General features: G+C 33.0%; 1 long non-coding RNA gene across 2 annotated transcripts in view; it reads left to right on the top strand.

The window, feature by feature from the left end:
- LOC105374020 (uncharacterized) overlaps nt 1–16684 on the top strand; it is a 122436-nt gene that overhangs the window by 78623 nt on the left and 27129 nt on the right. Inside the window, exons 1-3 of one of the 2 annotated variants that reach the window (XR_924300.3) lie at nt 10878–11082; nt 13156–13212; nt 15796–16017. The exons of the other annotated variant lie outside the window; for it this stretch is intronic. This is a non-coding gene — a long non-coding RNA (uncharacterized LOC105374020). Of the gene's footprint in view, nt 1–10877; nt 11083–13155; nt 13213–15795; nt 16018–16684 lie in introns of those variants that run through there. 2 annotated transcript variants of the gene reach the window in all.

The following is a 16684-nucleotide window of genomic DNA, read 5'->3' as shown; positions in this document are numbered from 1 at the left end:
GTGTATACTTCTTTATAAACCACAAGACCTTGTATGAATCTAGTTCTTATTAAAATATTACTGTTACATATTTTGGCTTACAGTTTAAACCAAATCAAATATACACCCACACAATCTCATCACCAGCAAGTTAACCAATGAAACATACTTTTTATTGAACTCATTTAGAACACAAAATATTAGTATTTGCAATAGTTTTCTATTGCTGTAGTCAAATTATCACAAAGTTTGTGGCTGAAAACAAATTTGTTTTCTTACAATTTTGGAAGTCAGAAATTCTAAAATAGATTGATAAGACCACCTTCCTTCTGGGGAATCTAGAAGATAATCTTTTTCCTTGTCTTTTCTAGTTTCTAGAAGCCTCATGCATTCCTCAGCCTTTTTATTCAATCTTCCATCTTCAAAGCCAGCAAGATAGCATCTCCCAATCTCTTTCTCTGTCCTTCTTCTTCTGTCATTGCACGTCTGTCTGTGTGGACCTCCTGCCTCCCTTGTATAAAGATTGTTGCTTTTTCATTGAGACTACCAGTAGCTAAAGATAATCTGCCCACTTCAAGATTTGCACTTAATTATGTTTGTAAAGTCCCTTTTTCCATGTAAGGTAACATATTCAAAGGTTCTAGGAAATAAGACTTGGATATCTTTGGGGTCCACTATTCAGCCTCCCAAAATACTAGAAACTAAAGTTATTTTCTAAAAAGTTCTGAAAGTTGGAAGAAGTAATGCAACTTACAGTAGTTGCAAAACTAGATGGAGGAAATGTATACATAATTTGAAGTTCACAATAGATAACATCAAAACTCCTCACAAATAACATTAGTATAGCATATGCCTATGATTGACTCTTATCTTTTGAGGTATTACTTAGAAGCAATGTAATGATGCCGGACAGTTAATAACTAGAAAATATCAATTATTTGAATCGCTCCTGGAAGTTTATTAATAGTGGGAAAGCCACCCATGGTAAAGAGTCATAAGTGATGATCACATCTATGATTGGTTACTTTAAAAGCAGTTCCCCAGTAATAAAAGTTTGCTACCTTTCCACCAAAGTCTTAGATTTCAAAAAAACAAATAATACAAAATTAACACTTGTATGTTAATGTAGTGTGTTCAGCCTCCTATAACAAAATACTAAAGATTATATAACTTAAACATACATTTATTTTCTTAGTTTTTACAGCCTAATATTATAATGCCAGCAGCATTGGTGTGTGGTGAGGGCTTTATCTTTGAATTGTAGGTGTCTGCCTTCTTGAAACATTTTCATATAGCAGAGAGAGTGCACGGATATCTCTTCCTCTTCTTAGGAGAGCACTTGTAAGGACACTCATTTCATCATGAGGATGACCTCTAGACCTCAACACTTAATCTAAGCCTGATTATCTCCAAATTCCATTACACTGGAGTTAAGGCTTTAACATATGACTGGTGGGTGAGGGAAAAATTCAGTTGACAGCAAATAGGAAAAACAGAACAAAACAAAAACAAATAAGTAGAAAAGCTCCTATGTAAGACTACCTCCAACTTCCTCCAGCACCCTAAACCATAAAGCAAATAAAACTTTGTAAGTTTCTTTCTAATTTTGATGTTGACCCAAAAGTATTTTAGACATTTGTGATAGCACTATCAATGAACAGCGTTACTGATATTGTAATCTCTCGTTACAAATGAATGAAAAATAATCAAAGGGTATTGTAAAAAATAATATTTCAGAATAATGAGACTAATGTAAATAATTAGAGAAAATAGTTCTTGTATAGGTGAATTTCTGAAATACACTTAAACTGGTATTTTTATTGATGCACAAGAAAATATTGCTTCTATGAAGGAGGATCTAGCTAAAAATTTCTTAACAGAAGAACTTTTTTATGAGAGAACAACATTGTTTATAGAATTTTAAGATGTGTTAGAAGTAGTAACAATTGCACATATTTGACAAAAATCCAAATTATTTAATATGCATTTATATTCGAGAATCTCAAAACTCAAAAAGATCTGATGACTCTGGTTCCAGAAAAGAAAAGAGAAGAGACATAAAGTACAGCACACACAGGTACAAGAAAACATTGGAATGAGAAACAGAAAAGTTGGAATAGGAGTAATAACACAGTGAAATATAATTTCCAGAAAATTGTGGTGCGTGAAAAAGAAGACAACTCCAAAAAATTATATACTATATGGTTCCATGTATATTAAATTTTTTAAAAGACACAATTTTAAAACTAGAGAATAGTGATAATCAGGGGTTCGGAATGTTGATGGAGCTGGAGAGCTAGATGCATATGATTTTAAAAGGACAATATCAGGGCTCTCTCTGGTTATGGATCTGTTTTGTTTCTTGGCTGGTGATGGAGACATGAGTGTGCACATGTGACAAAATTGTACAGAACTAGACTCATGCATGTGCACACACACAAATGAGTACAAACAAAACTGGGAAATCTATGTAAGATTAGAGGATTGCATCAGTGTTGACATTCTGGTTGTGGTACTGTACTATAGCTTTGCATATTACTTTTGGGGGAAATTAGATAAACGATATATGAGATCTTTTTGTATGATTTCTTGTAAGTATAGGGGACTCTACAATGACCTCTTTATAAACAGTTTCATTAAAAATATATAAATAGAATAAAAGATTTAGGCTTCAAAACAAATGGAATCCACAAGTAACTGTATTATGTATTATAGGAATGTATGCTATGACATATTTTATAACATTCATAAATTTCAAAGATAAAGATAAAATCTAATAAAATAAAATAGAAAGAAAACAACTAGCCCATTAAAACAAAACAAAAGCAGGCTGGTTTTAGCATTCGCTTTGTTCGTGATGAACAACTCTGGAGTCAGTGTTGTTCTCCATAACTATAAATGTCATAAAATAACGGATAAATGTAAATTTTTAAAAACAATGTGACTCAAGCATTTCTTAGGCAGTAAAATTAGTTTGCATAAGTGAGGTAAAAACTATATTTTGTAGTCCACTGAGACATAAACTGTTCATCTATTTGACCTTTCTGAAAAGCAGTAATTGAAAAAATATTACAGTAGAATTATAAATGAACAAAAAGAGAATTCAGGAATCAAAATATTATTTCAAGGAAAAAGCCATAGATACTGAAACCAACAAAAATTTGCAAAGAAGTCTAAAAAGTTTATATTAATATGAATATTAAACTCGAAGGAATTATATAAATATGCTTGAATTAGAAGTAATACAGTTTAAGAGTAAATTGATGACATGGGAGATTGAGATGAACACAGTATCTTCTAATTTTACATAATGCTCAAGGCAAGAAAATAAATGTAGTTTAATTATTTAATATTAAAATATAATATGGCAACTTTAAAAAAATATTATACTTTAAGTTCTGGAATACATGTGAAGAACGTGTGGGTTTGTTACATAGGTATACACGTGCCATGGTGGTTTATTGCACCCATCAACCCATCATCTACAGTAGGTATTTCTTTTAATGCTATCGCTCTTCTAGCCCCTCACCCCCGACAGGCCTCGGTGTGTGATGTTCCCCTTCCCGTGTCCGTGTGTTCTCATTGTTCAACTCCCACTTATGAGTGAGAACATGTTGTATTTGGTTTTCTGCCCCTGTGTTAGTTTGCTGAGAATAGCGGTTTCCAGCCTCATACATCCATATCCTTGCAAAGGACATGAACTCATCCTTTTTTATGGCTGCATAGTATTCCATGGTGTATATGTGACACATTTTCTTTATTCAGTCTATCATTGATGGGCATTTGGGTTGGTTCCAAGTCTTTGCTATTGTGAACAGTGCTGCAATAAACATAAGTGTGCATGCGTCTTTATAGTAGAATAATTTATAATCCTTTGGGTATATACCCAGTAGTGGGATTGCTGGGTCAAAGGGTATTTTTGGTTCTAGATCCTTGAGGAATTTCCACACTGTCTTCCACAAAGATTGAACTAATTTACACTCCCACCAACAGTGTAAAAGCATTCCTATTTCTCCACATCCTCTCCAGCATCTGTTGTTTCCTGACTTTTTAATGATCACCATTCTAACTGGTGTGAGATGGTATCTCATTGTGGTTTTGATTTGCATTTCTCTGATGACCAGTGATGATGAGCTTTTTTTCATGTTTGTTGGCCACATAAATGTCTTCTTTTGAGAAGTGTCTGTTCATATCCTTTGCTCACTTTTCGATGGGGTTATTTGTTTTTTTCTTGTAAATTTGTTTAAATTTCTTGTAGATTCTGGATATTAGCCCTTTGTCAGATGGATAGATTGCAAAAATTTTCTCCCATTCTCTAGGTTGCCTGTTCACTCTGATGATAGTCTCTTTTGCTACGCAGAAGCTCTTTAGTTTATTTAGATCTCATTTGTTAATTTTGGCCTTTGGGCAATATTTTTAATTGAACTTAACTCCTGAGGATAAAGTAACAGCAACAACAAAAATGATACCCAGAAAAAGAGAAAACAAAAATTGCTATTTTTCACGAAAAAAAATCAATGGACTTTTAAAATTACAAAGTCCAGTATTTTTTAAAGTAATGAAAACATATTAGTCATGATAAAAAATGACAATAAAGTTCACTAGAAACAATAAAAAACAACCACAGTAAACTTTCTGCAGCTGATAGGAGAATCACTACAATCTACATAAAATGGTATTTTAAAAATAAATTCATGTTAACTTCTGGGTTTGTCTGTGAACCACAGAGCTGGTATTGGACTTACCTTACTACTCTGGACAATTCTAAAACTCAACAAACCTTTTGAGGAACTCTTTTCGTTTATTAGAAAACAGACAGCAAAGGGCTCTGAAACTTGAAGAAGGGATGGCTCAAAGGTGAGCTCTGCACATATCATCAACTGGCTTCTGGTTGGCGTCATTTCTAACCCTTAAAAGTATAGCTTTAACAGGCAGCAGCAATCTTGTTGGGCAAAACAAACAGATCAAAAAGGTGACAAAGTGGTAGCTTTTTTTGTGGGGAACAGCACCCAATGGGAAGGGCTTGCAGTGGAGAAGATTAAGAAATCTGTGTAGTGGAGCTCTTTGGTCTTTGACTGAATCCTAAACTACACATTTAAAGAACAGGATTATGTAATCATTAGCAGGTAACATCTGAGAATTAAGCATATTTTTGAGGTAAATGACTGAGAAGATATTTGAATTTCGAGCTTTCATCAACCAGAAAAAAATGTAAAAATAAAAATCATATTCTATAAAAAAGTTTTGCACATAAATTCTGAAAACACAACTGAAACAGAACCACCTCCCCAACCTAAAACTAAGTTAAGACAGGATCAAAGTAATCTAACAGTAATAGAAATTCCCCCCAGAACAACTCAATAATCTATAAGAGAAGATAATGCAATCCAGTTTTTATAACATATCATTTGTAACATCTATATGCAATAAATTAGCTACTTATTATAAAAAGAGGCAAATAGGACTTCCAATCAGAAGTAAAATAAATGCAGTTAAGCTGAGTAGACTTATAGATGGCACAGATATTGATATTAACTGACAGGGACTTTAATATAACAATTGGAGAGTTTAAAATAGTTTATAGGAAAACAGGAAAAAATGGGTGAAAAATGGGGACATTCAAAAAAGGAAAGATATCCCTAAATAAATGATTCTAATGGAAACGTTAAAGAAACAAATACAATATCTTTATAAACAATCTTAGTTGGAAATAGACTGGACAAAGCAAAATAAATATTTAAATGAAATAAGAATGATACAAATTGTACAAACTGAAGTACAGATGGAAACGTAATAATAAAAGACTAGAATATCTGAGGCCTGTGAGAATATATCGAAATAGGGAATCTAGAGATGATTGGCATTCAGGAAGGAGAGGAGAGAAAACATACAACAGAAATTTTCCAAAATTCATGAAAAATGTTAACTGACTGATCCAAGAACTTAATGAACTCCAAGCAGGATAGATACAAAGAAAACTACAACCAAGTGCGATATACCCAACCTGATGAAACTCAAAAATACAAAAATGTTAAATTAGGTCATGAAAAATATATACGATGAATTCTGAGGGAAAAAAAGTATAATGGTTGCCCCCTTTGTCAGATACAATAGGAACAAGAGAAAAGTAACATTTTTAAAATTCTGAAAAAATAAATTTCATATCCCACATCTCTCTTAAAATTGATAGTGAAACAAGGACATTTTCCAAGAAATATAAACTTAAAAAGAATTTTGTGCTGAATACAAAAAATTTGTAAAAATACAAAAGAAGTATCTTTATTTTGAGGCGAAATAATCCCAGATGGAAGCCTGGATAATCCTTCCTTCCATAGAAAGAAAGACAAATGGAAATCATAAATATGTGGATAAATACGAAAGAGTATTTAAAATTATTTAAAATATTATTCATTGTTTAAGTCTAAATTAATATGTGTATGGTGGGATTTATAATGTATACACAATTGCATAACTGTATAAAAAGAAATAAATGGAATTAATCAATTGTAAAGTGCTCACCTTATTAGTGAAGTAGATTTATTAGCGTTGACTGTAACAAATTGTAATCCCTAGCGTAACTTTAAAAAATAGTGCAAAGAGGTATAGCTGAAAAATTCAATAGAGCAAACAATGTGGAATGCAAAAGTAGAGATGTTTCCTGACTTAGGGTGATAAACACATTGTTGAAAATATCATAAGCTGAAAATGCAACTAATACAACCCACTGAATATCATAGCTTAGCCTAGCCTACCCTAAATGTGCTCAGAATACTTACCTAGTCTACAGTTGGGAGAAATCACCTAAAACAAAGCCTATTTTATAATAAAGGGTTGAATATCTTATGTAATTTATTGACAAGCACGCTGAAAGTGAAAAACAGAATAACTGTATCATTTTTGAAGTATTATAAAGTAAAAAAACTGGTAAGTGGAACCATTGCATGTCGGTTACCACTTGTATTTGATTATCTGAAAAGAAGGCAGGAAAGGAAGAAAGGAGCAGATGAGACAATTAGAACAAAAATGTTTAAATAATTAACATTTTGTTTAAGTAAATTTAGCATCTTTTGAGTAGCATATCTATGAAGGTTCTTAATGCCATTTTTATATTTTTAAATCAGAAAGCAAAATGAAACAAAAAATCTTAAAAGCGTCATTTGCATTGCACTTTGAAGAACAATGCTCAATAGGTAACGGGCTTCAAACATCAGAGAATCAATGTCTAATATTTAATTTAGTATTTCTCGTTTATGCATACACCACAGGAAATACATTTGTAAGAATAAGAAGTACATAAATTCATTATACTTAAAATCCTGTTGTTAAGATAGAGACTAGCATATCTGGAGGCATTTGAAAGGTATTATAATTATTTTTAATTAGATGGATTTTTCTTTTAGTTGAGCCATCTTCTATGATTTCCAAGTTCTATGGTTTCTTTTTCCATGATTTGATATCTGTGATTCACATACTTATGATTATAAAATAAAATGGGTTGAAATTTTAAAACATACACATATGATTCATTATTGGATTTCGTGAATACATTATGCTACCTCACATTTCTGAATCAAAGCCATGAAAATATAGAAACTAAATGTACTCCAGTAACATTTTTCTAATACAAAACTCAATTTCCTCCTGAGACGAATGAAGAGCTTATGATGAAGGCTTATGAAAAATGCTTCCAAAGTTATGTATTAGATTTTATTCTTTTCACAACAGTAGAAAGGCTTTCTAGTAAGAAAATGTGAAGTTAATATATCCTGTTTTCAACACATCTTGTGTATCTGCAATTCTCTGTTCTTTTACAACTTTCTAAACGAGAAGAAAATTGACTTTCCAGGCAAAAAAAGCAAGTGCACATTATACAGATTGTAAACATAGCTGCAGAGGGAGCTAACTAAATTATTTGTATCAGTTTCTAAGAAATATGTAAATACACTACATGTGCCATCTTCTCATAATCCATTTAGAAATATTTGGTCTCTGTTGTTTTTTATTATTCTTCCTCATCTATATTCCTCCTTGTCACATTTAGGCACAGCCTACTGACTGCCCATTCTTTACAATTTTATGTTAGAGATCTCCAGGCATATTTCAATCCTTATGATAAGGCATCCATAGGGTCACATGTAGAATATTTGTTGAATGGTATGGAGATTTTATGACTTGCAAATTTACTTGACACTACATTTCTTTTCCCAAAGGAAGAAATAGCATACACTGTATTTTTCTTTTTCTTTTCCAAGTAAAATTCTTTCTTCCCCAAACAGCAACCTGTCTGGATCAGACCTTAACCACTCACCTTCTTCCAGAACTGTACAGTCTTTTCTCTATTAATAGATTACTGCAGTCTTATAGAGGGCACATCTCTGTATTCCATAAGTTCCATGGCTTTGCCCCAGCTGTCAAGCTCTGCTCCACTCTTCCTTTCCTCTTGATGTAATAGCAGATCAATCAGGGGTTATGGGTGATGATCCAATGTTTGCTGAGCATCCGGGGTGAATTAGGTACTGTAGCAGTTACCAAAAAAATTACATTTTATTCTAGACTTTAAAAATCTTAGAGGTGATGGGAAAAATTAATTAGAACAAAGTGTGTTATAAAGTATACAATACAAGATAATATATTAAAAATGCCACAGGGAATTTCTTATTACAGAAGACAAGAACATTTACTCTTACCTGGTAAAATTAGGGAGAAGAATTATAATTTATGTTTTTTGTTGCCATGGATTTCTTATATCAAGTAGGAATAGTTAAAAATAACATCCAATCTTTCAAAATCTTTCTGACTATAAACTTCTGACCCTGTCTTCAGTTTACACTTTCATATTGAGAAGTCACCAGAGAAAGATGAAGCCCATGTATCATTTGGAATCTTCAACAGAAATTCAATTTTTAGAATTTACTTGAATAGGATTTTGCCAGCTAGGTGTGTTTCTATTAAAAAAAAAACACAATGTCTGCAATATAGTCATTACATATTCACCACCAAACATGCAAGTTAGTGTGTGTTATCATAGAACAGAAGTCAGATAGGCAATTGAAGAGAGCCCTGTCTTTAGCCATCACTACTATAAAAATTGCTGAGGTGCTCTTGCTAAAAAATGCTTAGTCATACTTCTACAATATTGGTTATTTAGCATTTCACTTTTTCCTTGAACCAGTGCCCTACACAAGAGGAAGCAGAAGATTGTGTGTTGGCTATGTGTGGATTTGGGGTTTGTGCTTCTCCTCTTAGAGGCACACACATTGTTTCACATAACACCCATACAAAGACTTGTGATATCTGTGATGATTTTACTAAAGTGCATTTGTACCAGTAAGTACTGTAGAGAAGGCAAATTTTTACCTTTACCTTCTTGGGATAAAATAAAGATCAACATCAAGAGAAAAGCATAAACATTTATTTGTTATAAGTTTTATGTGATTTGGGAGCTCTAATAATGAAATGAAGACCCAAAAATGCAGTTGGAATTGAACCCTTATGTATTGAATTAAACAAAGAGTAGTAAATTATGAAAATGAGAAAGCATGCAAAGGGACTTGGGTGAGGGTGTTGAGTGAAGAAATTGTTAGAAAGATAAGTTAGTGTAACAAGGTTGGTTTGTACAAATTTCTCTTAACCTCAACTTCCTGTCCTTGATGATAAGAATGATATTTTCCTTTTGGTCTTGAAGAAAAGGACATTTTTTACAAGAGAATTTCATCTCCTGATTTTTAAGAAACAGCATGAAGTTTAGAGTGATCTTCTTACACCTGCTGTTTTTCAAGTCCTTACCTCAAAATAGTCAATATGCCAGAGTAACGTATTTTGGGATGGCATATTCCTTACTCCTTCAGCACAAATGCATTCAGGAAAGGTCCACAAATGTTCATTGCAATTGCTATTTAAAAGCATTACATCTGCCATTGTCCTTCTAGATTTCTTTATATGAATGCATATCTTTTCATAAGAGCTTAATTCAAAAGGAAAAAAATGAATGGGCTACTAAGGAGATATATATTTCAGTTATGTGAAACACCCATGAGACTTCTGATTGCTTTTAGATTAATTCTAATTTTATGCTAAAATGAGCATTAGATTATCACTCACAAAACCAGAGTCTGAGTCCAAATTGCAGTATTAAATAACCGAGATTATGGAAATAATCATGTGAGGTCATAGGCCAATGCAATTCTGAGGTCTAGGATCCTTTTCCTGAGATTTCTGTGGCACTCTGTATCTCTATTATGCATTCCCTTTAGACCTTGGCTAGTTCAAGTGCATTTCACTTATTCACAGCTTTCATAGTTGAATTTCTCCAAATAGATAAATTATTTGAATATAATATTCACAATATATTGTCCCATATATAGTTACAGACAGATACACTAATAATAATACTACATGTAGAACAAATACATGCCATTCTATTAATGATGGTTAGAGACCAGATGAGAAGAAATCAAAGGCACATTGTATAATCAACATGGAAACCATACATGTATGACAAGCAATGTACACATTTTTAAAGTGAATTAAAAGAATGTGAAACATAGTTGGTGGATTATTTAATAATTCATTCTTCAAATTATTTTCAATTGAAGATGTGTCTTTTCAGTGATATAGAAAACTTCTAATGAATAATCATAATAAATGGCTGAAAAGAGTCCGTTTCAAAGTGTTGGGTGAAAAACTAATGGCAAACTCTTGACCTTTCCAATCGTGGTGTCATAAAGAAAGAGGAAATAATCGGAAACAGAGTTGTGCTGCACAGCTACACAATAGCTCTGTTGTGAGAGTGAACTATCCTTGGCTTGTAATTGGGCATGAGTCTCTGGAAAATGTCAAGACCTTTTAAATGTCAGAATTTTTTGGCTCTGGGCCCCTTCTGTCTATTCTGCATGGAACATTGTGACTAGATTGCAATAGATGGATAGTTGCTACTTTAAAAATGTCCTGAATTCTCCCTTATCATCATAGATAGCAATCAGTGTATGAAGAAAGATTAACAGATGTTCGAAAGTTCTGGAGAAGAGCTTAGTTGGAATTTTGGATTTCTATTAACCTCATAGTGGAAGTGTATTAAGGCCAAAACTCCGCACCAGACTTCAAGTAAATATTTGAACTTTATTAGATGTTTTAAGAGAATATAAGTAATTTTAAAGACACAATTCTTATTTGAAGTATATATATATTTTCTATATGTTTGATTCCCTTTGTTGGAAAATGGTAATAACTAAATTTTAACAAATGTAATTGCTTAAAAAAATCTTTGGTTTCCTGATTAAGTCTGTTAATCTCTCTCTCTCTTTCTTCCTTTTTTTCTAAATAAATCAAATTCATGTATATTCATGTAGCCGTTATGGAATGCTGACCCTTAGATTCAGATAATATAAATATTCTTTTTATATCTAAGATTTCTTAATAAGAGGATTTTCCTACAAGTGCTTATTGAAACATACATTTGTTTTAAGATGGAAATATTTCTATTTTTCTTTTAAAACTATTTAATATATTCTAATATTTCTCCAAAAATCAGTAACTTTTATGTAAGAGTCTCATCAACTATGTCTTGTATGAACTTAGTTTCTAGAACAAACATTGAATAAAATTTGAGACAAATTTAATGATTTTTCCAAATTTTACCTAGTTATAAAAAATATATGATGTTTAGTGGTAATGCTAAATAGGATTCCATTTTGGGTTTAGGTATAATGCATTGGAAAAAAAGGAAGAAGTGAAAAATTGCATAATGTAATTTTTGGATAAGCATCTGAAACAATTATTTTCCTTTCATAATCTTCCTTTGTATATTCACTTGCAGAAAAAATTTAACTGTATCTTAGCCAAGAATACAGGTGCAAATTGTGGAAAATTCAAGTTAGAAATACTTTTATTTTATTTTATTTTATTTATTTATTTTGAGACAGAGTCCCACTCTGTTGCCCAGGCTGGAGTGCAGTGGCATGATCTCGGCTCACTGCAACCTCTGCCTCCCGAGTTCAAGCGATTCTCCTGCCTCAGCCTCCTGAGTAGCTGGGATTACAGGCACGCACCACCACGCCCGGCTAATTTTTGTATTTTTAGTAAAGTTGGGGTTTCACCATGTTGGTCAGGCTGGTCTCAAACTCCCGACTTCAGGTGATCCACCCATCTCAGCATCCCAAAGTGCTGGGATTACAGGCATGAGCCACTGTGCCCAGTCCTTTTAATTTGTTTTATAAGAACATAATTTGATACCAAAGTATTTATCCTCAAGTATATGCCAAGGATTATTAGTGACTTTATATTTTTCTTCTAAGGACTGAGTTTATATACCTAATGCTAAATGACAAGTTAATGAGTGCAGCACACCAACATGGCACATGTATACAGATGTAACTAACCTGCACATTGTGCACATGTACCCTAAAACTTAAAGTATAATAATAATTAAAGGAAAAAAATAAATATGAACTAACATATAAAATGCTATTACATAAGTTATTTTACAAGGCAATATTTATACAAATATTACAAAATGGTATTACGTGAAACTTTCTGAACACAAAGCAAAAAATAATTCCTATCTCTCTGATGTATATTCCTTGTTTAAAAGGAAAACATCAATAGAGAGTATTAAGGTCCAAACAAAATTTTTTTTTTACATATGAATCTTTCTTCTAATATCATGGCTTTATACATAACTGATACAAATGACAATGAAATTAAAGCACCTAGATTGTTGTAACTGTCGCTTGTTGACTATGCTCTAAAAATTATTGTAAGACTGGAATAAATAAAGTGTATATAGATTTTATTGTTTGTAAAACACCAAATACATATTAGCTTTTAAAGGTTCTTTTTGTGTCTTCTTGCCTTCCCTTTATTTTTGTACTTTCCAAAAAGTTCAGTTAATTATACTTTTCTATTTGTAACTCACAACAAATTTACTCCACTTGTGAGCATAGATATACGGAGTAAATTTACATATATATATGGTGAAAGGCATGAATTCAGCTTTATTATGTTCCACACTGTATTAATTCCTCAATGACATCTATTAAAGTTATCCATATTTTTCTCCCTTTACCATATAATATTCTTATATATGTAGACAGAGAGGGAGAGGAAGATTTTTTTTTCTGTTTATTCTATTTCATCAATCTATTTGCTGTTTCTAATCTAGTTCCATGTTGTTTTGAGTACTAGGAATTTGTTGCAAGTACTAGAATGTATGCTGTCGTCTTATTATCTAACAAGGTGAGCCTTTCTTTTTCCTTTAATTTTGCTTTTATAAAAACTCATTTGTGTATTTTTGGACATTTTCAAAAGACTAATTATCTCTTCTAAAATATGTAATTTTGTTTCGTACTGGAAGTTTTAGAAAATAATTTTTTGTATTTAATCTCTAATATTACCTTTATATCTTAATGCTTTCTCTTAGATTTATGTATCTGCTAATTAGACTATATACTCCGAGAATATTTTTTAAATAATTGTAGAGTTCAATTTCAGCAGTTTTATCCATCTCAGAATATCTTGATTGTACTCTCACATTTAGAAAATTATTTTATCTGGCTAGGTGCAGTGACTCAAGCTTATAATCCTAGCACTTTGGGAGGACGAGGTGGGCGGATCACGAGGTCAGGAGTTCGAGACCAGTCTGGACAACATAGTGAAACCCTGTCTCTACTAAAAATACAAAAAATTAGCCGGGCATGGTGGCGGGCGCCTGTAATCCCAGCAACTTGGGAGGCTGAGGCAGGAGAATCGCGTGAACCCGGGAGGTGGAGGTTGCAGTGAGCAGAGATCGTGCTATTGCACTCCCACCCGAGTGACAATGCGAGACTCCATCTCAAAAAAATATATATATATATTTAACTTAAATAAAAGTTTATGTTCAAATTGTCTTTAATGTTTTGAACTTATTACTCCATTTTATTATTTATTCTAATTAATATATTTCAAATATTATGGCAATATATTTCTATTCTTCTCTTTTTGGAATACTTCAAATTACTTTTGATAATCCCTTGGTTTTATTTTCATTGTAAAGTGTCTAGGTACAGACTAGCTTCACGTATCTGGTTCATTCTCTATTAGTCTTTTTAATCGGAAATTCATTATTATTAATTGTTGCAAATCTGCAGTGTTGTTTTTTTTTAAAATTCTTCCCCTTATATTTGCTTTCTTCATATCTTAGGAATTCCAATGACATAGATGTTAATATGTTAATTTCTGTTTCTTTTCTCTTGTTTTATTTATTGCATATTTTTAAATCCTACTTTACCTTTCTGGTGCTTTTATTTATTTATATACACAGTTAGTTGGTTAGTTATTTTTGAGCGTTTCTCACCTTGTTATTGTAGGTTACTAAATTTTTCTTTATCTGTAACTACTTCTTTATTCATTTCACCTTCATAGCTTCACGTTCATTGTGACCTATAATTCCTATCTCTCTGACAATATTTGTTTATCTTAATTATCTGATCTTTCTTTGTTCTATGAATTATCATACTTATACAAGTTGAACAGCTATTTATTTGATTATATACCTAGTAATTATAATTATTGGTATATTTTCTGCCAATTTACTTCTATTCTTCTTAGACTATCAAGTACTTTGATTGGAAATGTATACTGGAGAGAAATTTCAAAGCTGTAGGACTAACTTTTGCCTTTACTGGTGTGTTTAAGTTTATGGGCATGTGTATGTGTTTTAATGTACGTGTGCACAGGGATTACATATAACAAAGAACCACCCCTACTGGCTGTTCTGTTTCCAAACATCAATCCTTCTACTTCCTATAGTAACTGCTTGAACTTCCACTACAGATGATGTTCTTTTCCAGGAGTTGTTATTTTTTAAAGTAAGGTTCTTTAGCATTGGTGTGTATGAGTGTGTGTGTGTCTGTGTTTGTGGGAATGAGGAGGTGGTTAGCATCACCCATTATTATCTGCTCATCTCTCCAGTGAGCCTCTGGTTTCTTGGTGTTGTCCTGCTTAGCATGGTGGGGCACAGAAACAGACTACCTATAATGCTTTATCCAAACCATTTTCTTTACTGTGACATTTGGGTACCTGTGATGGTTAATATTGAGTGTCAACTTGATTGGATTGAAGGATGCAAGATATTGTTCCCGGGTGTGTCGGTGAGGGTGTTGCGAAAGGAGATTAACATTTGAGTTGGTGGACAGGGAGAGGCATACCCACCCTCAATCTGGGTGGGCGGCATTTAGTCACCTGCCATCGTGTCTAGGGTAAAAGCAGCAGAGGAATGTGAAGGACTAGACGGGGTGAGTCTTCAGGCCTCCATCTTTCTCCCGTGCTGGATGCTTCCTTCCCTCAAACATTGGACTCCAAGTTCTTCAGCTTTTGGACTCTTGGACTTATACCAGTGGTTTGCCAGGGGCTCTCGGGCCTTGGGCTACAGACTAAAGGCTGCACTGTCCGCTTCTGTACTTTTGAGCTTCTGGAACTCGAATTGGCTTCCTTGCTCTTCAACTTGCAGATGGTCTATTGCGGCACTTCACCTAGTGATCGTGTGAGTCAGTACTCCTTAATAAACTCCCTTACATTGATACATATCTATGTTATTAGTCCTGTCCCTCTAGAGAACCATGACTAATACAGTACCTGTCCTGGTCTGTACTTTTCTTCCCTCGCCAAATCACAGATGAATTTTTTTCTCCTCAGGAGATTTTTATAATTTTTAATGTAGGTTGTTACTTTCTCCAAATCCATTCACTTCTCTCTCATTTTGCTGACTTCTTCAGTGCTCTGATGTGAGAGGAAGATAGAAGCCCATACTAGCAATTAATTCTTTCAAAAATGTTTTTCTAGGCCAGGCACAGTGGCTCATGCCTGTAATCCCAGCACTTTGGGAGGCTGAGGTGGGTGGATCACCTGAGGTCGAGAGTTCGAGACCAGCCTGGTCAACATGGTGAAACCCTGTCTCTACTAAAAATACAAAATTATCCGGGCGTGGTGATGCATGCCTGTAATCCTATCTACTTGGGAGACTGAGGCAGGAGAATCACTTGAACCCGGGAGGCGGAGTTCACGGTGAGTCAAGATCGCACCATTGCACTCCAGACTGGGCAATAAGAGTGAAACTCCATCTCAAAAATAAATAAATAAATAAATAAATAAATAAATAAATAAATAAATAAAATGTTTTTAAAATTACTTTAAAAATTGGTTTCTTCCATGTGAAATGTTGGCATCGAAAGGGCGGAAACTGTATTTGATTGATTCAATCAATATCCACTTAGTATGCCATGTGGAATTGGTGACACTTTCATGAAATAAATAAATTGATGCATAAATGTGTGATGGAGTGAAATAATATAAAGTTTTAACCATAGAAAACGTATAGAAAAAGTATGATATCTGAATACAAATTCCATGTCTCACCAATGAAATACATTTATTTCTGCATTATGATCATATATGGGTACAGATGAGAATTACACAGGACTTCTCAATTCTTATGGAAAAATAGTGTCTTTATGTGACTAGCTTCTCTGAATTCTGCTTAGTCTCAGGTTCTTGGTTCTTAAATAGATTCTTTCTCTCTCTTTTCATTGTACTTAAAGTCAAAATGAATGCTATTCATGATCATATGTTGCTTTTGAGTCAGATACGTTTACAATCTCTTATATTGTTGAAATTAGGCTATTTCTGAAGCCTGATGCCTTCTTTTGTCTATACTAAAGTATAATTTAAGCTG

Source organism: Homo sapiens, chromosome 3, assembly GCF_000001405.40.
Source record: "Homo sapiens chromosome 3, GRCh38.p14 Primary Assembly".
Taxonomy (NCBI): Eukaryota; Metazoa; Chordata; class Mammalia; order Primates; family Hominidae; genus Homo; species Homo sapiens.
Note: the sequence above shows the minus strand (reverse complement) of the source record. Positions and strands in the feature narration are given on the sequence as shown.